We start from the raw sequence: 25,943 nt of genomic DNA, 5'->3' as shown, positions 1-25,943 counted from the left end.
TGGTTTAGAAGATTTTCTCCTTCTTGTGTAAAAAAATAATTTTATACAGCCACCTTTGGCTAAATGGCATCTCGTTATTGAAATATGTTATATAAAGAAAATAGGACCAGACAATGGATATGACATAATGTTATATTTCTTTAATAAGTATTCATTACATACTTTGTTTTAGTCCTAGTGCCTACCTAATTATTATAATCACTTACTACATTGTTTAAAAGAGCATTTTGAATAACTGAATGATAGTTCTGTAGTGGCAAATAGCATGTGAAATTCATTCTACTTTTTTATTTTGTTCTATATGTGTGGTAGATAATAACATGGCATTCATTTAACCATTACTGGACACCCGTTGACTAGTCGTATTTTCTGTCAAAAGACTGTTTGCAGTTAATGTTAGCAAACCCACCACAGTCTGCCAGTGTAAGCAGATTATCAGTAATTGTATGTGTGTATGCATTTTGGGGGAGGGTAGGGGGCAACATTTTCTTCAGGTCTGAATAAGATATAGATTCCTGCTGGCTGTTTTGTATTTCATCATAAAGCCTGTGAGGAGGCCGCTCCCCATTGAGTGGCTGTGGCCCATGAAGTTGCTGGCGTGCTGTGCAGTGTTTTGATCTCGGCAGTGGCAGTTATGTTCCTGATAAATTTGTAACCCCCAGGAACACCTGCAAATCAGGCTGGATTTAAATTAAAATTAGGTTTTATGGCATTTTTTAATCAGACAGAAGGTGGTGATAAAAAGAACCATGTATTTTCATGGAAGAAAGGTAGTAATATTTCAATTTAATCGGAACTGTTGCACCAATAATGGAATCCAGATTGATCTGGGCTTGAAATGATGCAAAGATTAAAACCATATTTTTTAAAGGTGTAAATTTTTTGAGACTTAAAACAATGAATATGATTTTAGATCATCCAGGGTTTTTAGACAGAGGAAGTATGCTAAGTAATCTGCTAAGGACTCTTAAGAGCCAAATTTCTATCAGTTTCTCAAGAGACATTTTGTGGGACTAAGTCTTTAATTCATAAAGTTAATTCAGTAAATTTTGCAACAGTTGTATATTGCTGAGCAGTGAAACAAACCCAAAGAGATTTTGCAAGTGTTGAGAGGGAAAGGGATGAGGTAACAATCTATTTCAAATAGGAAATTCAAGTCACTCAACTAAGTATGGTTGAATATCACATATTTTAAATAGACTAGCTGACACAGTGGTGTGTGGTTTTCCCCCCCCCAGAGGTAGTATAGAACTTCTAATTGGCATGTTAAGAACAGATATAGTAAAAATTAGTTGAAACTACTTTTAAGGAGTCATAGTTTATGCTAAGAAGAATCTTATAAAAAGAAATTGTATTAAAGTGTTGTTTGCAAGTGAATTAAAAGTGAAATTGTAGTTTTACTTTTGTGTGAAAAGTATTCTTTTTGTATTCTCTTTTGTATGCATCCATAGAGTGAACTCTGCATCTCATATAGGGCTTCTATTTAATAGTGCTTGCCAAGTCTTTATCACTATAGATCTAAAGCAGTTCGGAGCATTGTTTGATTTGAAGCAGTTCCCTGTGTATAATTGCACTTTGAGTCTTTGCCTCTCTTTGGCTGAAAACCTAGCTTATTGCAGCTAAGAGAATCTCACACAAAAAATGCAAGTTGTCCTTGTGCATAAAAGCAGATTCTGCACTTCAACACCTTTTCAAATTAATATTTGTGATGGGTCTATTCTCTGCCTCTGAGTTTCTGTTCTCTTGCTTTGTTCCTGTGTTTGATGTAATGTAAGCAAGGACAAAAAGGAGAGCTGGGAGAGTGTGTGAAAATGGTAGTTAAGTGGGCTTAAGGGGTGCTTCAGCACTTTCTGAAAGGATTCATGAGTGAATAGGCCTTCAGAGTGCTTAGCTGTAGTGCTGTAAATAGACAGGTCCAGCACAAAGCTGCAGATGAAATGAGCACATGCATATCACCCCTTGTGACATCTGGCCAACCCTGGAATATAATTTCACTTCTTCAGCCTCAACCAAACATTTCCCGAATGCTCTGGCGGTTAAAATCTTTTGTTTGGTTAATTGCAATGAGTATAATATACAAGTCTCTTGGAGGTCTGCTGTGGACGATTGGACAATTGAAAGATTTAATGAGATACTGCCAGTTACTCATAATAAGGTTTCTTTTCTGCTTGGTAGTTTCTGAGGTTTTGTGATAACATAAAACTCCTTAATGTTCCAGCAAAAAGACAAAATGAGAATTGGAGTATACATTTGTCTGGTGATATCTTTTTGCTTATTTCAATCAAGAAAAGTGTTGTAGTTTTTTTGATGATGTTGCTGCTGTTATGAGTTGTATATTATTGTTGAGGTTCTAGTTTTTTAAATTTTGGAGCCTGGAAGATGGTCTTTATGATTATGTGAATGAAAATTTGGAATTCTTCTTAAAACACCACTGTGCACATAATTGAAATAATATATTTTTACAAGGGACAGTATGCTTTGTGAAGTATTATTGAGGGAGGAGGGGGCAATTATAAGTGCCAATTTTGAAGTTCCCCAGGTAAGAGAATTCAAAATGACGTCCATGTATAGATTACTTGTAGATTTTCTTAGAATGGGCTCATACAGGAATGAAGGCTAAACAAAGACAGCAAGATATGTGAAGTTAAACAGTGGGCAAAAAGGACTATGTGCTTCCTTTTCACGGTAAATCTTATAAGTATTCAACCAAACTCTACTCCATAAAGTCGTCTGAAGAAAAACTCACTCTCTCCTAATCCCAGTCTTAAAACAAAAGACAAGGTCCATTATTACTTCAACAGCATAGAGAAAAGGAAATGAGAAGGGGACAAGGGTTGCTACAGTTTGACATGGGGCAATTAATCTTCCAGTAAGCGTTGTCAGGCAGAAATGAACACAAATGGATCACTCACATTAACCAGAGGAGTGTAGGTAGGGATTTTAACAAGCATTTACGAGAGTCCATTTTCTCACTAATGAAGAGGGGAATAAACGAACCAGTGTAAGCTAGCATTATGTACTTAAAGTTGTGTCCTTTTGGCTAAAGACGCCTCTTCACATTCTTGACATTTCTAGTAGAGCCTGTATGATCTAAGCCAGGGCTGGAAGGGTTGAAATTCTAAGGTTGGCTTAGAACTATGCATGGCTTACTTCAGAGCCCTGTGTCACTGTGTTCATTAGTTTAAAATCCCCATTAACCCTTCCCTTCCACATAACAACTATCTTCAATATTATTTCACATCAGAACTGAGATGGGCATACAGCTTTTTTTCTACTTTAAACATTTCTAAAAAGGAAATTTAAAATAGAATTTTAAAATTAGGATTACCTAATCATTGTGTGTTTTTAAAAGACCACATGTCAAAATTGTCTATTCATTAATTTTTGCCCATGATAGATTATTAATGAAAAGAACATTATTAAGTGCACATGAAAGTAATTCTGTTGCTGCTGGCTGATACTAGATGAACATATTTTTATAATTTACGTGGTAAATAATGTATTTGATGTTTAAATTGCTTAAGAGATAGAAAAACATGATCATTAGGAAGCTAGTTTCCTGGCTAAATAGCACAGATTTAATAATTATCCCATTTGTTTTTAAACTAAAAATATTTCTATATCTAAAAACAACTGATAGTTGGGGAGATTTTTTTCCTGCACTTTACTTTCAGCACCATCATGATACTGTAAAGCAGAGGCATGAAACATTTTGAACTTCAAATATGATAGATAGTACTTTGTTTATATAATTTTATCACTCTTGTCATTCAAGAAGATTCTATGAAAGATTTGAACTCATAGTGTGACATACAATTTTAAGAAGTGTAAGACAATTATCTTATTATTGGTTTGCAGGACTATGACTTGTTGACTGTCTCATACTATAACTTATTTGCTATTACTGTATCTTGTCTCTTTGAAAGAAAAGTAAGTTCATATTAAAGTTGGCAAATGGATATTTTAACAAAGTTTTTACCACCATATTTCAGGTTTTTATGACTTTTTTCCTGAATATGCATATTATAATGTAAAAACCTTAAGCCATTTTGAATTTTTATATGTTTCATGTATACCAAAGGGTCACAGATGGTGGAAAGATTTGTTACCATGAGGTAGTGTAGCATTTTGTGATTATAAAATTAATCTGTCTCTAAATCTGTTTAAAGAGTTTTTGCCATCTAATGAGCAATATAAATTATTAATATTTTCATGTTCTTGGGGACATTCACAGCCATAATTTTACCAACACAGCTGTTTGACCCAGTGACATCATGTTTTGCATATTTTTGCATTTTAATGAGCTAGTCATTTAAAAGGTTACAAAGAAACCATAACTCATAAGTAATTAAATTATTTAGCAGAAGAAGTATGAGAAGATCTTCTGACATAGGTCATTGTGGGAAGAGAAATTCATAGCTATACTCATTTGCACCTGTTAGGAGATATATGTGTATTGAAGTGTTTCCTTTAGATTATGAAATGATGTTACTTGTTAAAATATGTGAATGTATACAACACAACATGCACACACGCACAAACACACATCCTCAAACATTACATTTTCATTGTTACAGAGTAAGTTTAAATACCACTCTTAACACAAACACAAACTTAACTTACCATTTAAAGTTAATCATCCTTGAAAATCTAGTTAGCCTGGTTTTAGGAGCATTTTATCATTACCCTTTTCTCCTTTTTTCCTTTTCACATTTCCCTTTTTTTGAAAAATAAAATGGTCTCATGTAGACATTTTAGGAATTTGTATATGATTTGGATTTAAAATTTTCTACTGAATGAAAATATCTTAAAATGAAAAGTGACTGTCAGTATAGGATACAGGTAGACTCTTAAGTATAACTAGCATAGTGCTTGGTAGATAGTAGTTGCTTATTAAATGTTTGTTGTATGAAATCGGTATTTAATGAATTATTGACTGAATGAATAGAATTCTTCGTTATGTCCTCATACTTGCAGGTGGACTCTAGCACCACAAGCACTGATATATTCTTGAAAAAACAATGAAAACAATTTAAACACATGATATTTTAATTGAAAGAAAAAAGAGAAAGGTGGTATATTTAATATAGAATAATTTGGGTACTGTAATCGTTAAACAGCTTTTATGATTAGCTTAAAAACTTAAGCATATGTTTGTATGATATATGATTGGGTCAAAGTGATAATATTTTGAAAGCCCATGTGGCTACCAGAAATGTTTTAGAACTACTATATTTACACAACTTTATAATAGATTTTCACAAGAAGTTAGGAGAACATTGGACTTCCATTCAGCATTTTAAAACGCACAGGCATAACTAGCATGAGGAATAGTAAAGTTAATGAGATGAATCTGCCCATCCAAGTCTTCTTTAGACCATGTAATAAAGAGGTATCTTTTCGATTTCCTAAATTCATTTAGGGATTTTGATATATCATTGACTGGGCAACAGTTTTAACTTGTTACTTCTTTTTAGTTTAATGTATAAACGTGTGGGTATACCTTTGTGTCATTTTATGAGAATGAGAAGCAAAGAATATAAAAGATTTCACAAAACTATGGTATTAAATCATATTTCTGTCCTCAAAAATGAATGGTAAATGTATTAATGGTACTATTGTAGATTTATAGAATCTTTCCATAAGTAAATTGTGAATAGCAGAGAAATTTGCAAGATTTAAGCAACATAATGTTCTAAAACCCAGGAAAAGTTAGAAATGGAGTGGGTGATAATATGGGTAAGTGCAAAGCACATGTTTTAAAATAAATAGTGCTTGGATGACCTGACATGTCAGAACTGGAGACAAGGGTGTGTGTTTGTCAATATATCCTTCATGTTTTACAGACTCCTAAGGGAACAAGGGAAGATACAATTTCACCTTTTGTGTGCCAAAACATTTTAATTATATCTTCTTCCAACTACAGCGGTTCAGTAACCAAGGAGCTGACATTGATGCATGTGTTGATAAAGCTGCAAACATTCAAAATGAGATTAACAAAGATTTTGAGCAAAGGGTGACAGCTAATTTTGCACAGTATTCTGCATCTAATTCAGGCCAACATAATAATAGAATATTTTATAACTGTTTTGTTATTCAGAAGGACTTTTATGATACATTTATGTTTATGGGTATCTTTGTATCATACTCAAGAATTTATCTGTTGTATGGCTTAAAACTATCTGCATCTGTGTTATAACCCTCACACAATATTAGGGGGGATAATCTCTCTTATTGTAAGTTTTTTGTTTGTTTGTTTGTTTTTGTAAATTATTCTTCATCCTTGGAACTCTTTGCCTTACCTGAATTAATCTAACTGGAGAAGGTATACAGATGCCGAACACGTATTTTCTAATATTGCTTAGTATCTACTAATAAAATGGTCAAGAAAAGTTATATTCAGTTTATTTAATTAATAAAACTGTAGTTTCTTTATGTTCTTGAGCTCCTTTGAGCACATTTCAGTGTATTTCTTTTCTCTTCTATTCTCTATTTGAAGGCAGCTGACAGTCTTCTTTCACTTTTCTTTTTGTTTGTGAAATTTTCTTTTCTTTTTTTTTTTTTTATCCACTCACTTCTCCATCTGCTTTCACTTTTGTTTGCTTGGGCCGTCTCTCATCCCAACTTGATAATGAGGAATGCAGTGTGACCCTGACCTCTATCAGCCCATGCATGACCTTCTGACTCTACCATATAACCTTTGACCTTCTCTTTGACAGCTTGATTAATTACCCTGTGTTATGATTTATGAGTAAGTGCTATGTAAAAATAATAGACAACAGGTGGTCCTCTGAAAACTTTTTGTGGCATGTTTTCTTTTACTGACTAACTTGATGAGCTATTTGAAGTTGGAAACTTTATTTGAAGTTGGAAACTTAACTGGGATAATCTATGTTGGTCCATATTATGGTATTTTTATACCATGGAACACACACAGCATTAGATTTCATGAAGCTACAAGTTAAAGTATGGTTATGAGAACATTTTACAAAATATTAGTAGAGTACTGTTTCCTAAATGCACATTGAGAAGAAACACAAAACGGAGTCAAGTGACATTTCACGCGTTTCAGTCCCAGGTCACGTCTTGAGAAAATTGCTAAAATAATGGAGGGGGCATTTTTCAAGCAGAGCTGCAGTTCCAACAGCTATGTTTACTTTAACGCTTCACTAGTGACTTCTGATTGGTTGTCATGACCTCATCTCACTGTTGCACCTAGGATGTTGCAACAGTGACATATACATACCCTTCTTGGAAACAGATGAGAATAAATACAACATACATCTTTCAGAAAAGATGAATGGACAGTGGTTTGTCTATGGGTAAATGTCGTTTATAGATAAAGCACTTTGGGTTTCAATTCCCTTGAGGATGAGCACCTATCTTCTTTCAAACCAAGCAGATAGAATGCTGAACTTGAGAAATATGATTGATAAATTTGTGTAAAATGATCTCTTACAGAGCCTTGCCTGAAGACCAAAGCAGATAGTTCCATAGGTCAAAGGATTCCACTCTAACCCCTGACCTCTCTGGTCACATGTGGCTTGCAGTATTGTCAGGTTAATATGCAGAGCCAAGTACTTTCAGCTGATTTTTTATTTAGCCAACCAAAAGATAGTTGAAAAGATGTAGAATTTGCCTGTTTTCCATTTTTCTTATAATTGGTAATGAGTAGGTAAATTAACGTGGATAAGTCTTCAGTTTTATCAGATTTCATTTGGGGTCAGAAGTCTGGTTTTGGTCGTGCATTTTAATGTTTTATCTATTTACAGAATCTTCTTGATAAGTGCGTTTTTGTACTGATATAATTTGTCTATCAAAGTTTTCCTTTTTGGTTCTTTGTGTTTGTCATCACCTGTTTGTTTTAGATCTCTCTGACCTAAGCCATCATTTGTTGGTTGAATGATAAATGATTTATTATTTATTAGTAAGTGCATCTACAGACTTCAAAGTAAAGAAGGCCTAAAGACCTGTGTATTCTATTTAAATCACAAGTACTTTTGCTGAATAAAATGCTATGTCTAGGAATGAACTTTTAAGGGTTTCTGATTAAGATCCCATAGTTAATACCTTGTAAACACAGGTCTGAAAATGAAAGTAGAATTATAGCAACAAAAGTATAAAAATGGAATGAGATGAATTAAAGATATAAAGCTTACTTTTACCAATATATATCCTCTTGATCACCTTAATTTCTACTAGACTGTGATCAAACATGAGTTAATTAACAACTTTATGTATGCTTTGTCTTTTGAAATGTTGGATATTGGAATTGATTTGGTAAATCATTATAAAGGATGCCAGAAGTTTTATTTATTTAGTTGTAGAATGCTAGATAATTGATTTGATCATTTTATCTTTTCAAAGATAAGAGAAAGGGTTTCGATGTATATTTGAAGTGACCTAACTTTTTATCGTATAAGAAATGTAGCATACTTAAGGAATAATTAAATATAAAAGAAGTACTTCAACATAAAATGTTTAAGAGTCTAAGCATAAGTTATGGAGCCTTCCTTAGTAGAGTAGCAACCCACAGTTCTTTTAAGATATTATACTTGATGCCTGATATTATAGTGTAGTTTCATAAAACTTTATGGGTACATTCATGAAAGGTCACACTAGCATCTCTTCTTACTAATTTTGTTGTGTACTGATTGAGTTACTGGGAATGGAAAGAATCACTTTTTTAAATGGTATTTAGTCTGATTTTTGAGGAAGTTGATATTATTCAATTTAAAACAGTAAAATTTAACTAGTGACATTTTGTCTTTGCTTTGTTTTACTCTATTTTCTTTGACTCTTTAGTTTCCATATATTGATGTTGACATGGCAAAAATCTTGGTAGCTTATATAAAGGAAATTTTTGCCAGTGTTACATATGACAGAGAAAAGAAGGGAAACATTAAGTTTTACTATATATCTGTGGTTAGAGCACATAGGTGGGATAGTTAACTTTATTTTCTTACTCCTGCTTTCTGCTACTCATTACAAAATGGTTATGAATGATCTCTGTGAATATTGCATTAATTAATTTAACAGAAATATTTTAATTTTAAATGTTAGTTTTTTTACAGAACAGTAATTGAATTTGCAACAAAGATATTTATTAAAATCCACTCTCATTTCTACAGAGAATGTTCCTGAGTATTTCTTGATTGTTGTCACATTAATTAAATTGGCAATCTGAAATATCTAAAGGATAAAATATTTTCTAAATAGTTTGGGTGTTTAAATAGAAGCATCCATTGTTGAAATCTAAATGATAACAAATCTTCAATTGATTTATATAGTGGTGATTTAAAAATAGAATCATTTCTCATCTGTTGATGCCTAAGGGAAACATTGACATTGTGCCTTTATGATATTGAACAGATGAGTCATGTAATTTTCAGTTACTTAGACAAATACTGCTTCTTTGATGATATATAAATGCCTTTTTTAAAATACTTATTTACATGGAACATATCAAATTTCAGAGTCTTATTTCAAATTAAGTAGGCACGATAATTTTTCAATCTATGATTTCTAAAAATTGAAGTTTAAAGTTCTGCTCAAATAAGCCAGATATGAAAATATTATTTTTTTGATTAAGTAATAAGATAATAGTCTTACAATTCTGGTGACTGTAAATTTTGTTCAAAGAGTTTACCTTTATTTGAGATTTATTCATTATACAAAGATGATGCCATGTTATTTCAGCTTATTAAAGTCCCACTCTTTTACCTTGAGTGAAGTTTTTGAATTTGAAATTTTTCATATTATCATTAAAATGTAGTATATCACTATTTTCATCTCTACTAATTTTAAGATTCTATTTTGGTCTTGCTAATTTTAACTCCTGAGTATGAGAGGGTGGTGTGTGTGTGTGTGTGTGTGTGTGTGTGTGTGTGTGTGTGTATGTGTATGTGTATGTGTGTATGTGTGTTTAAAGTTCAATTCACTCAGAGAAGGCAAGGAAGAAACATGACAGGAGACCACTTACTCACGGTACAGAATCTAGTAGGGAGGCAATTTTCTTTTTGGCCTATGGTGACCTTTTTTGACTATGTTCCTTACACCAGAGACAGTGTACTGAATGCCTCTATTTCACCCTGTTTAGCAGAGTGCAACAGTGTTCTTTAACTTACTTTTGGTGGGAGGAGAAGTTATAGCTGAAATTTGAGAAGGGCGTGAAAAGTTGTAAGAGGCACAAGGAAGAGGGGTAGGAACTTCCTTCAAATGTGATTTTAATAACTAGTCAAGTGTGTCCAACTGTAGAAAATCACCAAGTGACAATCTGTCTACCTGACAGTGATCACAATGAATTACAAGACTTTTGAATAGCTATACAGATTAGAATAAAGCAGGACCAAATAAAATATCTTTTGTTGGTAAAACTTTTGACTTAGAGCTAAGAAACTTTAAAAAAAATTCTCTTTTGCTTTGATGTAGAAAGTTTAAATTACAGAATGTGTAAAGTGTTTTATAAGCTTTTTGTGAAAGAAGCATTATTCTAAAAGCTTTATTTGAACATCTGTTGAAGAATGGGTGGTGGTTTGTAAATCAGTTTGCTATATATTATTATATAGTTTCCATATATGTAAGATGACTGTATCTTAATTAATAGTCCTATCATTAAAATCAGAACTTCAGTGATCTTGAAAATTTCCAAACTAAATAATCGTTTTAGACAATAATATCATCTGATGGAGGAAAAAATAGAAAACAATTCCAAAGAAGTTTGTAAGTAGTTTGTGAAATCAACTGTTTAAAAAAACCAACCATGTGCAGTAATGCAGCATATTTTAAAATAAGATAATTGAGTCTGTGCTATTACTGGTTTACTATTACTGCTGTCAATTTTTTAAAATCATCTTATGGTTGGTTTGGCAAAAAATTTAAAATTTAAACTTCAAGTAGAAGATTCTACAGTTACTGTCTTGAAAAACTATATATACTACCTATTTTAAGTAAGGATGAGATTTTATAAGTTTTATTTTCTATTAAATAGATTTTCTAATAAATAGATTTTGTGAGCTATTTTCTGTAGCTCTTATGTTTTTATTATAATATCATACATCTTTTAAATATGACCTTATAGTATTTTACAAGGACATAATTGGAACCTCACAACACATAACTGAATAGAAAAGACAAGATATATAATAGCTTCAAAAATTTGTGTTACCCATGCTTGTCAATGGTTATTGTTTATCCCTCTCTATATTTTCTCATGGTTAGCTTATTCCATTAGACATAATATAAATATCAAACGTTTTCTTAATTATAACCACAGAAATGTTTGCCAGGCTAGAAAGAAATGAGACAGGAAAACATGTTTTACAAATTTAAAAAAAAAAAAGCCTTAATAGCTCAACAAGCTGTATTTTTTAACTTTGGAACCTTGCTTATTTCCTGATTATAGTTTTTAATAAAGAGAATTTTTATGGTAGGTTGAAAAATGAAAGAAATTTTAAGATTAAAGACTTGCTTCCATACATTATAGTAAGACAGTGGCTTATTTTGCTACATGATTTTTCTGGCCTCCTGTGAGAAACAAAGTGAATAAAATTCAAGGTACACAAGTAGATGTTATGTCTTTATAATAATGTAGGTATGGATGGTTTTGTAATGTTAAATCAGATTTATTCTTTTTTAACTGCTTATTCTTTTTAATTGTTCAGACAAATAAAAAATGCTCTTGAAAGGGCCATTGTAAAGAAAAATATACAAAAAAATGTAGTTTGAATTGTAAACTTTGATTTCAGAGGTTGTTTTCTCAAAACAGATAGTATAAATATTAATATAATTTGAAAGTTTACTTGAAAATAAATTATTTGCTAATTTATTTCAGTCATTTTTGGGTTCTGAGATATCTGAATTAGTTTTTTAATTTAAGCTTTATAATCTTTATGTTGCAATTATATTTTTTGTTCTTATAAATAATAAAAGCTTATTTATATACACAATAAAGGCAAACAATTTTAAATGACTTTCTTTTGAAAAAAATAAAATCATTATCTTGCCTAAAGGAGTATTTTAATGAATATGCAACTATATAAAAATTGCTTAGACTGAAATTTTAAGAACTTTTTTGAAAATTGAAATGGATTATAAGATTTAAATTATGCTACCTTCTTTCATTTCAAAACAGGAAGGATATGGAGTAATAGTACTAAATCCCAATGAAAACTATATTGAAGTAGAAAAGCCGAAGATACACGTACAGTCATCATCTGATAGTTCAGATGAACCAGCAGAAAAACGGGAAAGAAAAGATAAAGTTTCTAAAGAAACAAAGAAGCGACGTGATTTCTATGAGAAGTATCGTAACCCCCAAAGAGAAAAAGAAATGATGCAATTGTATATCAGAGTGAGTGAGATCACTACTTTCCTTTACTATTTTCTTTACCTTGTATATATTTTATTATATGTAGATTGTTTTGTTTTTCTTCAAGAATATTAATTTTTTTATTTGTCATCATTTATTTCCCATAGTCGTCTACTTGGATTAAATGGGTTTTTAAATTCAGAATTACAAAACGCATCATTCTTATTTCAGTGTGACATTTTATAGAAGTCACAAATGCAAATTCTGTTTCCTTTTGTGTCATATACTACCTCAAGAAAAATTTTCTAAAATAATTTTATTGTGATGGATGCAGAAGGCAGAAAACTTGCCAATTCAGTTTCCAAACACGCTGTTTCTTTAAGGAAACATAGCATCAGCATAACATGCCGTTATGTTGTCCATAAGAGAGAGTATATGTAGCCTCACAATTCTAAGACATATCACCTGCTGAATTAATAATGCTCCATACAAAACATTCATCTTGGGGGGTAAGGTTTACTGGATAATGCATTGTTTTACGATGAGCAACTATCTACAGTGTCTCAGCCTAATGTCTAAAGGCAGATAGAGGGAGGAAGAGTAATTAATATCTTAATAAATACTTAAGCCAAAATAGTGTAGGGATAGTGTAATGAGGGAACTCTGTCCTTTTCTCTTGTCCTACCCAGCGAACTTTTACACTTTGTAGTACTAACGGTATGGGATCATTAGAGCAGTGTTGCCCAAGGATTTCTAATTCTGTAGGGGGCACAAACAATTTTGTTTACACTTGGACATATTCAGAATGTTGACATGCATACTATAAATTATATATATGAGACATTTGTCAATTTTCAAAGCCCTTATTATGGATGCTAGAAGTTTAATAGTAAAGCATGTCGAAAATGCTACGGGTTAAGAAAAATAGTATATTGAAATAGTCCTCAAAAGTGAGCAATTCAGAACATTTAAACACAGAGAAAATAACGTTTTATAAATTATACAATAGGATAGTAGTAACATTTCAAATTATTCAACTTGAACTATTTTTACATTTACTTTAGAAGATCATTAATAAAATGTTTCATACTACCTTTTAGGGGAAATATATTGCTTTCTAAGTTTTTATTTTCTGTATTATTCTAGTTCATGGCATAATCACTCTACTTTTTGGAATTGTGCTTTAAACATTCAAAATATTTTATTTATAGGTCAGTCTATTGAGTAAGCTATGACAGTTAAGCAGTGGTGAAAACAGCATATATATTCCCAAGACCCCAAAAATGTATCCTGACAAGGAATTCTCAAAGCAGCTCATATAGTGAATCAAGCAGATTATAATATTTAAATTTTTAGAAAGCATCTCACTATTTAATATATTATTTGAAAAGCAAGAACGCTTATTATATTTAGAAGCAATAAGTAGCTTGTTTGTTCCAATGCGGTTATATCACCCCCTTTCTTTCATATGATTACATCGGGGTCATGATGTTACCATCTTCTCTATCAGTTGTACTAAGCTTCCTTCTATATGATCCAGTCTGTAAACCACCATCTTATGACAGGTTAAAATTTTTAAAAGATTACCTCTGATATCCAGATTCCAGAAATGAATTATATAAGGCTTTTGAAATATAAAATTATAAGGAATACCTACTTGTTTATGTAAAATGCAAACAAAATGATATTGTATATTAGGTTTATTTCTTCTTAAACAATTTTTTTTTGCCTGTGACATGTACAGATTAAGCATCTATCTCAGATATCAGACATCTGTCCCGTAAGTTTATTTCTTCCTATTTTGTCTTTATCTTGTCACCATTGCTTTGCTTTTTTTCTTTTGTTCTCTTTATGCATGCATTTTCTTTATTCTGTTTTTCACATCTGCTTTGTTTTTCCTCTCATCTATTTTTTCTTATACCAAGGAAACAACATTCTTTTTATGTTGCTTCATTGTTAAGACCTGCTCTCTTTCCTTTTGTTTTCTTTTTAATTATTTTCTCTCTTTTAGACTCCTGTCATTTTTCCCTCTTTTCTAAGTCTTTTTGCCTCTTTGTCCCATTTCACTCATCAATTCAAGTTCCCAACAAAAGCACCAAAAGACAAAAATAGGCCCAAACACATAATACAACTTTGTATCGATGGTCTTAGTTATGAAATGTTTTTTCTTAGTAAACATCATTTCTCTTAAAATCTTCTGGAATTTTGCAAAATAGCAGAGATGTGCTGACACTCTTCAAACATACTTCTAGATAGTAAGTTTTGGCCTTGTAGTGGGAAAGAGAAGAACGGTTCATTTTGTGTGAGGTGTATTAATTCCTTAGTAATTTTGATCCATTCTGGAAATGACTTCTGCTAGTGCTCTTCTTCTCTCTACTTATCTCCCAATACCAAGTGTTTGTAATTTTCAGACACAGAGCATTTTATATGATGGAACTAAACTAACTTTTATTTATATACTTCTTACCAATTTACAATTTGAAATTATCTTCTATTCTTTGTGACAGCCTAATAGGTAGATGAATCACATCATTTTGTCCTGATTTTATAGTTGGAAACTGATGCACAAATGTTAGTCTAGGATCACAAAGCTAGTAAATGGTAGATAATAAATCTACTTGTTGAAACCAGGACTAGTAATTACTGTAGATTCTTCCCCTCTTTCTTCTTTACCACATTGTTCTGTAGATTGAAAACAAAATATGTATCTGAAATTTGAAAATTAAGCCATGTGTAGTAAATGTATGATACAATATAGTAAACAACATTTGATGACAAAGATAGATTTTTGATCAGCTATTATTTAATGGACTCTGTTTCTTAAATGTTTATAAACAATTTATATGTATAAATGTAAGTATTTCTATAAATATGTATATATATTTATATATTCTCTACAAATAGTATGACTAATACTGATCCAAATTTACAGATCAGATTGTGGGTCAAAAATTTTTAGCTTTTGGAGGGTGGAAACTCAGTCTGAGGACCCTGCCCCAGGAGCAGGAGCTATCATATCCTCCCCTCTGCCACTTTCCATTGCAACTAATAAAGCCTGTTTGTACCATAAACACACACACACACACCCCTTTGAGTAATTTTTCAAAGGTCACATAGCTCTTAATATAAGCTTCATGAGGGCATGTACTTAGTCTGTTTTGCTCGCTACTGTATCCCAGAGCCTACAACAGAGCCTTCATAATAAATATTTGTAGAGCAGATCTTTCACAATAAATTTTAAATAAGGTGGTAGAGCCAGGATTAAAACCCCTCACTACAACTACCACTTTTTAAAATATGTCCTGCATTATTAAAGTATACAGCTTGATTTTCTATGAGGAAACATTCCAACAAACCAAAACAAAAAGTCAAACAGCACTACAATTGTTGACTTCCCACTCAATCCAGTAGCTGAGATTACAATCCAAAAATTAATGGTATAAGGTCATTATTTGATACCTTGAACTATATATTTTCATCTGAATATATAAAAGTAGAATATCCTATTTTCCTTTTGAGCTATGTCATTATACTGCTAAAATTATGGATGAAAATGGAAATGTTTCAACCTGACCCATTGCAATTTCTGTGTTACACATTTGCTCTTAAGAGTACAGCCAGGCTGCTGGGGTTACTCTACCCTGTACAAACTTTGTGCTTTATGGAATCTGTAACTTCAATTTCTGTTCTTTCCTGAATCCAAAATTCTATCCACTTACAACCCACGTTATAAGTGCCTAGCTGAAATGCCACCTCTTCCTCTCACTATAACCGATGACCCCTCCTTACTGAGACTCATGGAATGTATAATGATTAGCTAATTTACATGGAATTTACCAGGTACTGTCTTGATATGTCTCTTGTATTTTTGTCTAATAATTTAATTAATATTACCAATTATTTTCATGCCTCTCCACTAGATCTCCCCATAATCCTTTAGATCTTTGAGCGTGCTTTATATGTTTTGGCATTGCATGTCAATCCTTAAAAGCAGATATGTGCTGCTTTTTGCATTAGTACAGAGCATATTATGAGGGAGTCAGGAACTGATACTAGAATTTAATCCCTTGGATGGAGAACAAAACAACAAGATTAGGCCTAAGTGATACCTAGATAAAGGAACCTGCAGCATAGGAATGAAGGTTATTCTGTTATCAAACTGGAGCATAAGAGGACAACTAAATCAAGGAAGGTCAGTTAATAGAATTTTAGAGACTATGTGTAGAGTATAGGCAAAAGTGACTTGATGCTGATCTGTCTAATGTTGGGTTGGAAGTGCTTGAACATCTCTTTCCTAAAGTGAGACTTATTTGTAGACTCTACTGATGGGAAGTAAAGGAGAAGAATTAGACCCAGCCTCTGAAAGAAAGCAAAAACAGATGCTAAGGATAGAGGGGAAGAGAATTACATGGACACAAAACGAAAAGTCCAAATGTTAAAGAAACATTTACAGAATAGAAATCTTAGCAAAGCCTGGAATTGCACATAGAGATGCTTAAATATTTATCAATTATTTGTTGACATCCGTCAAAAATCTTATTCTTTAATATGTAAGATAGTTGGTGTTGCCTAGTTTTCTGATTGATTTTTTTCAGCATTCATGTGAATTTTTGCAATAGTTTAGAAACAGCCAACTCTGATAAACTAAAGCTTTCTTTCCAAAAATATGTTTTTGATGTTCTGACTGGGGTATGTTCACAGTTCTGAATCTCTTCTGTGCAAATGCCATTGAAGTCATTTCTATCTAGTATTTTAGCAACCAAGTTCAATTTATTTGTATTACAAACAATGATTGTTTAATTTCTGAAACTATTTTATTTTCCAAGTATATTCAAGTATTTGGATTTTCTTTTCTCTAGTATCTTGTAAATAGCCAGTCTCCTTTCAAATTTTTGCAAGTATCTAGTATACACAGGCAAAAGTAAATTTGGGCCTAAAACTTTAAGATTAGCAAAGTATAATTTTATTTTACTTGCTGAGTATAAATAGATATGACTGGTAGATTATGTAGCACTTTTCTGAGACATTAGGAGCAGAGCATGAGAGATCAAAGAACTTACTATTTCATGTGGCAAGTTTTCTTAACTATGAAATAGTGTACTTGCTAGCATATATTATGGTTTATTAAGGGGATTGATTTGGTCTAGGCAATACACATCATGTCAGACTTGCCTGGCAGGAAAACCTGCTTAATATGTTTTGTAATAAGATGGAATTTTTTGTTCTCAAAAACATCTGCCAACAGAATTCAAGAGTGAAAACAGAAAATGTCATCAATTTAGTGGTAATCCTATAAATTTAGTTTCTTTTTGAGCAAGACATACCAAGACACACAAAATTCCCAGTGTTAATCACCACTGGTTATAGTACTTTGTAAAACGATGAAACAAAAACATTTTATTTTTGTATAATGTGTTAATTAATTCATAATGAATTTTAATATCTCAACTGATAAAATTTTAACAAGCTTCTTGGCAACAGATTATTTTTTAAAGCATCTGTTTTTTAATGTGTTGGGTTGAGAACTAAGTCAAATGGCTAAATATGTACATATATTCTTTTAAAAAACATATTTTCACCCCCCATAACTACAGATACACTGCTTTTCCCCTTAGACCACAAGGGGCTGCTGCTGTTCATATCGGATTTTGCTTCCCTTAGAAACTTGTGTACCCCAATTAACTCTATCTTTAGTCTCTTTTTTTTTTTTTGCCCCCAGATCTTTTAAAATATAGCTGGAAAGAAGAAAAAGAGGCTTAGTTAGTATCTTAATAATCAGCATAAAAATGTATTATTGTAAATGTTTTCTATAATACATTCCAAGGCATTTATATTTCTCTACATCAACTTAAAGCTTGTAGTCATTGAAGGCAAATTGTGAATAATAACTTTTTATTTCCTGTTTTAGTGTATGAATAACATTCAGAATCATACCATTGTAGAGATATAGTATGGAGATGAGGTTAAAAATGCAGTCCGAGGCTGGGTTGCAGTGGCTCACGCCTGTAATCCCAGCACTTTGGGAGGCCAAATGGGCAGATTGCCTGAGGTCAGGAGTTCGAGACCAGCCTGGCCAACATGGTGAAACCCTGTCACTACTAAAAATACAAAAATTAGCCAGGCATGGTGGTGGGCACCTGTAATCCCAGCTACTTGGGAGGATGAGGCAGGAGAATCACTTGAACCCAGGAGGCAGAGGTTGCAGCCAGCCGAGATCACGCCACTGTGCTCCACCCTGGGCGACAGAGTGAGACTCCGTCTCAAAAAAAAAAAGCAGTCCGATAGACCTGAGTTTGAATTCCAGCTCTTCCATTTAATATAGTGTGACCTCAAGTTAACACCCCTGCACTTGAGTTTTTGTCTGAAAAGTAGAATGATGATAATATATGTAGCCAGGTGCCTTAGCATATGGCTATAGTCCCAGCTACTCAGGAGGCTGAGGTGGGAGCATCTCTTGAGCCTAGGAGTTTGAGTCTAGCAAAACTCAAACCTGATATAGCAAGACTTCATCTCTAAGTAATAATAATATGTGTAAAGCAAACATAGCATCTGGCACACAGTCTTGGGGCTTTAGGGCTAATAAATAACATCATTTCTCAAGTTGAGACTCAATTGAGAACTAATCCAATTCTTAAGGTCCCTGGCCCTTGTACCTTTCAGTATCTTTCTGGGGTGTTTTCTCTGATGCCAACCAATTCTGCAATTTCTGTTGGGTGTCCAGTAGTTCAATTCAGTTCTAACATTATCTGCCTAAAGAGTTCAGTTTCACAAGACTGCCCCTGTTTCAGACACCAGTCACAAGTCCTGGAGGAGCCACTCATACTTCTGACCAACTGAATGTAGATTAGGGGTTCCTGTTACCACCTCCTCAGTTTCAATAACTTGCTAGAATGACTCACAGAGCTCAGGAAAATACTTATGTTTACCAGTTTATTATAAAGGATGCAACTTAGGGACAATCAAATGGAAGAAATGCATAGAGCAAGGTATATGGATGGGAAAGGGCATACTGAGCTTCTGTCCCCTCTGTCAGCATGCCACCCTCCCAGCTGCACATCAGTGTGTTTACTAACCTGGAAGCTCTCCCCTTCCTGGACACCAGTGGGTGAGGCTGAAAGTACCCTCTAATCACTGGGTCTTTCTGGTGACCAGTCCCATCCTAAGGCTATCTAAAGGCCCCAGTCTAAGTCACCTCATTAGCATAAACTCAGTGATGGATTTTTTTCAGGGGATTGTTATGAATAACAAAAGACACTCTATGACTCATGAGCTTTCAAGCCTTTTAGGAGCTCTGTTCCAGGAACCAGGGACAAAGACCAAATATGTTTTCGTATTACAGTACAACATTGTTCCAAAATAATACCTCAGTGCTACACTCTGCAGTTTGGAACTCAGCAATATTACATAGGAATCAGACAAAAGGAAACAAAACACCATCATTAAAAATTGATACAGTTCAACTGGAAAATTTGTTTTAGATCTGTAGCTAATGGACTTCCAGATATATTCCCCCGAAAATGAATTTTCCCCTTATCCTGCAAACATTCCCTTTGCCTTTCATGTGGTAGAAAGTAAAGTAGAATTCATCCTTTCTGCAACCTATTTGGAAGATGCCCTGAAGAGCTGAGCTGAGCATGTTCAGTTTCTTTTCCTAAATGTGCTAATCAGATAAGTCACACTCTTCCTGAGGGAAAGAAAGAATGGGATATGGGGAGAGAAACTAAGAATGTTAACTCTAGCTGAAGTGCCTCCATATGAGGCCAGGAGAGGAGTGGCTCCCACCTGACAAGGTCACTATTATATGCATTTTCTAACAATTCAATAAGGCAGTCTTAAAATATAATCATTAACTGTTCACCAAAGCATACCTGTTTCTTCATTTTAGAGTTTTCATTTAAAAGGGAAACTGTGATCAAGCCTGATTAATTTTAAAGCCTTTAAAGGGCCATAATTCTGTTTTAATTACCAGAAATTAACCTTTACATTGTCATGTTTTATATTTCCAAAACCTAGTAAACACAGTAGATTTTTTTTCTCCTTTCCCTTTCCCCTTTTCCTTTTCCTTTCCTTTCCCTTTCCTTTCCTCCCTTCCCCTTTCCTTTCCCCTTCCCCTTCCCCTTCCCCTTCCTTTCCTTTCCTTTCCTTTCCTTTCCTTTCCTTTCCTTTCCTTTCCTTTCCTTTCCTTTCCTTTCCTTTCTTTCCCCCCCCCCTTTTTTTTTTGAGACAGGGTCTTACTCTGTCACGCAGGCTAGAATGCAGTGATGACATCATAACTCACTGTAGTGTAGAACTCCTGGCCTCAAGCAATCCTCCTGCCTCAGCCTTCCAAGTAGCTGGGACTACAGGTGCATGCCACCACACCTGACGCACAGGAGATTTTTAAAATAAAGGTTTGATTAATGAATATTATTTGTTTACATGAACCTATGAAGACAGGCCTTTGCCTATTTGTATAAATCTACCCTTTGATGTTGAGTAGCATGAGATTGCAAGAACTCTTGAATATTATACTGAAGTGTGCTGACACTGGAAAATTAGTACATTGTGTTGGAAGCTCAGTTATCAGCCATTATTTTTTTTCTTTCTTTTTTTTTTGAGACAGAGTCTCATTCTATTGCCCAGGCTGGAGTGCAGTGGCGCGATCTCGGCTCACTGCAAACTCTGCCTCCCGGGTTCACGCCATTCTCCTGCTTCAGCCTCCTGGGTAGCTGGGACTACAGGCACCTGCCACCGTGCCTGGCTAATTTTTTGTATTTTTAGTAGAGACGGGGTATCACTGTGTTAGCCAGGATGGTCTCGATCTCATGACCTTGTGATCCGCCCGCCTCAGCCTCCCAAAGTGCTGGGATTACAGGCATCAGCCACCGCGCCTGGCCAATTATCAGCCGTTATTAAGTGTACCCAGCCTTCTTTGGATTTGGTAAAACAAGCCAATAATGAAGAAATAGAAATCAGTTCAAGAATTAGACCTTTGGATTTCAAACAAAAATTATGATAAAGACCGAAGCTCTGCATTTATGAGTTTTTGTTGGACACTGACCAGTTAGGGTGGTGGGGGTCTGTCATAAATATGATATGGTAAAAAGAATAAGCACTTCAGAATCAAATACATACTGTAATCTTAATTTTTTTGCTTACCAACTGTGACTTTAGGCAAAAATCACTGTTTCAGTTCCTACATCTATAAATTAGGGATAATCATATCTGTTAGACTTTTATAAGGAATAAATGATGTAAATTAATGTGTATGAAAACAACCAGTGGGACCGGGCACAGTGGCTCGTGCCTGTAATTCCAGCAATTTGGGAGGCCGAGGCAGGCGGATCACTTGAAGTCAGGATTTCAAGACCAGCGTGGCCAACATGGTGAAACACCGTCTCTACTAAAAATACAAAAATAGCCGGGCATGGTGGTGCGCGCCTGTAGTCCCGGCTACTCTGGAGGCTGAGGCAAGAGAATTGCTTGAACCGGGGAGGCAGAGGTTGCAGTGAGCCGAGGTCACGCCACTGCACTCCAGCCTGGGCGATAGACCGAGACTCCGACTCAAAAAAAAAAAAAAAAAGAAAAAATTCCTTTCTCATCCCTCCCTTCCTCCTTTCCCATAGGAAACATGGGAAGAATTATGGCAGAGTAAGGTCTTTTCCCATTGGCTTATGTTTAACTTTATTAAGGTCACTGTGGGGTTTTTGTTTATATGGGTTATATCTATTGATGTTTACTATTGAAAGGAATTAAAAATGAGAACATTTTAAAATATTTATTTTTAAATAACAATAAACCTATGATGACATAAATAGCATTTTATGAGAAATAACTGTATTTTTAAAATGAAAGACACAATGAAAAATATGGCATTTTTGAAAATCTAATGTCTGGCTTAATAGAAGGCAGCTGAATTCTTATACTTGCTTCTATATTTCCTCTCTTATAATATGTTGTCTTCATTGATGTTTTTGAGGAAAACTCGGCCTCAAACAGATATGCAATTGTAAAAGAAAGGTCTATTTTAATAGCTTTTTCAGATAATTTTGTATATTCTTCTTTGATGCTATACCCACACTAAAAAGGAAGTTATTTCTTAAAGTTTAGTTGCAGTATGGAGTCTAGAACACATTTTATACTCATAAAAATCCATTGGTCTGTCTTGTACTTTGAATGGATCTTTTACCCATATATGATTTTGTAACATCATACATTGGTCATTTGGAAAATATTGTTTCACTTAGTTACATAAATCTTGTAAATGTTGACACATCTTATTACACAGTATAAAAAAATCCTACCCATTAATATTTCCACCAGTATCATCAGAAAAGCTTTAAGAATTAAAAAACTCTCAAAGTTATCAGTGATGATAAAAGTTTCCCAAAATTCCAACTTTAACAAGAAAGCTCAGTTTGTATCATTGACCACAAATACCATCAGTTGTTTTTCTTGAATGGGATTGTCAGGCTTACTTTGTTCATTTACAAGAAAATACCTTCCAAATTACCCAAATCCGAATAATCATAATTTGTCTATCAGTCTTACAAGTACAAATGCTATTCCATTAGAAAGTTAACTACTTTAGCTCTAAACGCAATCAAGTGCACAACTGCTTTTCCTCCAGACTGTCATCATAGCATAGTTTGGTATGCAAGTGCTTTATGTATACCTTCATTTCATCACTCATAATATTAAACAGATATATACTCATGGATTGAGATTTAACAGAGGTAAATTTTACTCTTCATTGACATTTATGTGTAGTTGGCTTCCCTCCAACCTCCACTTCCACCCCCCCTTATGTGGCAGTAAAGACTATGACTACTAGTATAGTTTGGTATCACTGCCTTCGTAGGTGCTAAGTCACAGGCAGTTTTATTCTTCATTGCGTTTTTAATGATTAATGCAAATGTCAATACAGTGAAATAGACAATGTCTTAATACTATAATGAAATAGAGACCTTGCAGGTCCCCTGAAAGAATCTCAGGAATCTCCAGAGGTTTGTGGACCACATGTCTAAAAACACTGGTTTTTGCCTCTTTTCTGGAGCTGAACAGAGAAACAATGAAAGAAAGCAGTTTATTAACATTTATTTATAAAAATAGAAACCATATTTCAGTTGGCCTGTTAGGTAATGCAAAATTAGGTGACTCAATATGAGCGGCGATGTAAACTGAAATAGAGAAATCGAATCGGGTAGGACTGCCTCATTGAGACATTTGGATCTATCTCATTTAAACTCTTGATCTGGACTCAGGGAGCATTGTATATACACTACTCCAACAGTTTGCCCTCCTTCCTCCCTCCTCCCTTTGGTGAAACTAAGATAATGTCAGTCCATAGTGACCCAGCAGGTGGAATTTGAGGATTAGAATTTGTTTTCTACTGATCCACTTCCAACAATAGAAGACCGTGGAGAATCACTTGCCCATTTTAGGCTTTAGCAACTACAACTTTCATTCCGTTTTTTCTCTAGAATGGGTGGCTTCTTGCTGAAAGAGCCCAGATGTCTGTGCCTGCTTTCTAGCTGTCTCACGCGTCCATGTGAAGAGACCACCAAACAGGCTTTGTGTGAGCAACAAGGCTGTTTATTTCACCTGGGCGCAGGCGGGCTGAGCCCGAAAAGAGAATCAGCAAAGGGTGGTGGGATTATCATTAGTTCTTACAGGTTTTGGGATAGGCAGTGGAGTTAGGAGCAATGTTTTGCGGGCAGGGGGTGGATCTCACAAAGTACATTCTCAAAGGTGGGGAGAATTACAAAGAACCTTCTTATGGTGGGGGAGATTACAGAGAACCCTCTTAAGGGTGGGGGAGATTACAAAGTACATTGATCAGTTAGGGTGGGGCAGAAACAAATCACAATGGTGGAATGTCATCATTTAAGGCTATTTTCACTTCTTTTGTGGATCTTCAGTTGCTTCAGGCCATCATCTGCTAAATAGAGTTGTTAGAATTAAAAGAAGTAATGCAATTAAGTACTTAGTACCTGCTTTAGCACATAGTATGCACTCAGTAAACATCACTTGTAATTATAATTATTATTATAATTGAATTACAATTCAAGTTGCCTCTGTCCATGACTATTTCTGAGGCCAAGCTCTTCCTAATTCTTCAAATTGAGCTCCCTTTGTCTAAGGTAACATTTTTTGTCTAAGATAATATTGGACAGTAACTGTAAAATACAATTAGATGGACTGTGCCTCAATTTGAATTTGGTTATGCATATTAGCCCCTCTCTCTACTCCCACAACCTTCACCCACTTCTTGGGAAGAAAGGGCAACTTAAGGCCCTCTGTCTCCAACTCATTTCCCATTGCTGGGGCCCTTGTCAGGTTAGAAGCAGTAGTTGTTTGTGTAATCATCACGCTAGTCTCGTGTATTACTCTGATGTTACAGATATGTAAAATGAGGCCTAGAGACATAAACAGACTTACTCATAGTTATACAGCTAATAAGAATAACCAAACCAAGATTTGAGCCCAATTCTGACTGCAAAGTCTGTGTTTTTCCCGCTACACCAGGTTGCGATAGTGAGTATTTTCTCTAAGTGGTTATCTGTGTATATATTATAATATAAAATATGTATACAAATGTGACTAGATAAATGGAGTTTTCTTGGTAAGGCAGTCGAAATGCGATTAAAGAAATAGAGTTTCCTTGGTTGGTAAGGCAGTCACTATGATAAAAGACAAGCAGTAGTTCCTTCTATACAGTAGTTTATTCTAAGACTATTGTTAGGGTGTTGCATTGAGCAGATATATTGGTTCTAGAATCTGGGACCCACATTTTTTTTCTCCTCAAGTGAGACGCCCTTGCACATTATTTTTGCCTCAGTCCCAAACTGTCCATCTGGGTTTTGTGAGCCTTGTAGGTGGAGATGAAGGAAAGCCTAAATGAGTTTTATATAGTTGACCCAAAAGTGCTTTGTTTACTATAGGGAATCTTTTTTATCCTCACCCTGATTTCAGCTTGTCTATAGGTAACTTTGCCTGGTAGTCAGCCAATCAGCATATTGCTCTTCACTCTTCTATCCTTTGGTGTTTAGCCAGTTTCAGTACTCACGCATGCACACTGTGGCTTTATCAATGGATGTAAACATTACCGTGTGCATCCTTTATGTGTGACATAGCATGGCAATGTAACGTTTACTGAGTGACTTGAGTGTTTCCCTAATAGACTCATCTCATTTCTTTTCTTGTTGTTGTTGAGATAGTGTCCCATCCTGTCACCCAGGCTGGAGTGCAGTGGCATGATCACAGTTCACTGCAGCCTTGACCTCTGGGCTCAAGTGGTGCTCCCACCTCAGCCTCCCAAGTAGCTGGGACCACAGGCATGTGCCACCACACCTGGCTAATTTTTTTTATTTTTTGTATAGATGAAGTCTCACTCTATTCCCCAGGCTGGCCTCAAACTCCTGGGCTCAAGCAATCCTCCTCCCTTGGCATCCCAAAGGGCTGAGATTACAGGTGTGAGCCACCATGCCCAGCATCTCAGTTGTATTTGAATTACATATGTGTATTTGCAAATGTGAAATTGTATGCTTAGATTTATTTGTTTGGAGCATGACATTTCAGCTTAAAACATTATCAGTTCTACCTTATGTAATATTAATTTTATTCTCAGTAATATTTTCATTAATTTAATATG

At 34.3% G+C, this 25,943-nt stretch overlaps 1 protein-coding gene across 35 annotated transcripts in view, besides 1 other annotated feature; it reads left to right on the top strand.

Moving 5' to 3' along the window:
- Window positions 1-25,943, top strand: part of ARB2A (ARB2 cotranscriptional regulator A) — a 493,975-nt gene that overhangs the window by 217,878 nt on the left and 250,154 nt on the right. For 31 of the 35 annotated variants that reach the window (NR_028080.1, XR_007058646.1, NM_001163418.1 and 28 more), the window contains one exon: window positions 12,134-12,352. The exons of the other annotated variants lie outside the window; for them this stretch is intronic. Coding sequence is in view for 29 of the 31 variants with exons in the window: in NM_001163418.1 (NP_001156890.1) it covers window positions 12,134-12,352 (219 nt within the window). In the remaining 2 variants the exon portion in view is untranslated. The remainder of the gene's footprint in view (window positions 1-12,133; window positions 12,353-25,943) is intronic. 35 annotated transcript variants of the gene reach the window in all.
- Window positions 1,206-2,543: an enhancer, noted in NCBI's record as "VISTA enhancer hs271". NCBI's record gives its function as "enhancer in: midbrain (mesencephalon)[11/14] | forebrain[13/14]" and the evidence as "EXISTENCE:transgenic organism evidence [ECO:0001131][PMID:17130149]".

Source organism: Homo sapiens, chromosome 5 (assembly GCF_000001405.40).
Source record: "Homo sapiens chromosome 5, GRCh38.p14 Primary Assembly".
In the NCBI taxonomy this organism is placed as follows: Eukaryota; Metazoa; Chordata; class Mammalia; order Primates; family Hominidae; genus Homo; species Homo sapiens.
This window is presented reverse-complemented; position numbering and strand designations above follow the sequence as displayed.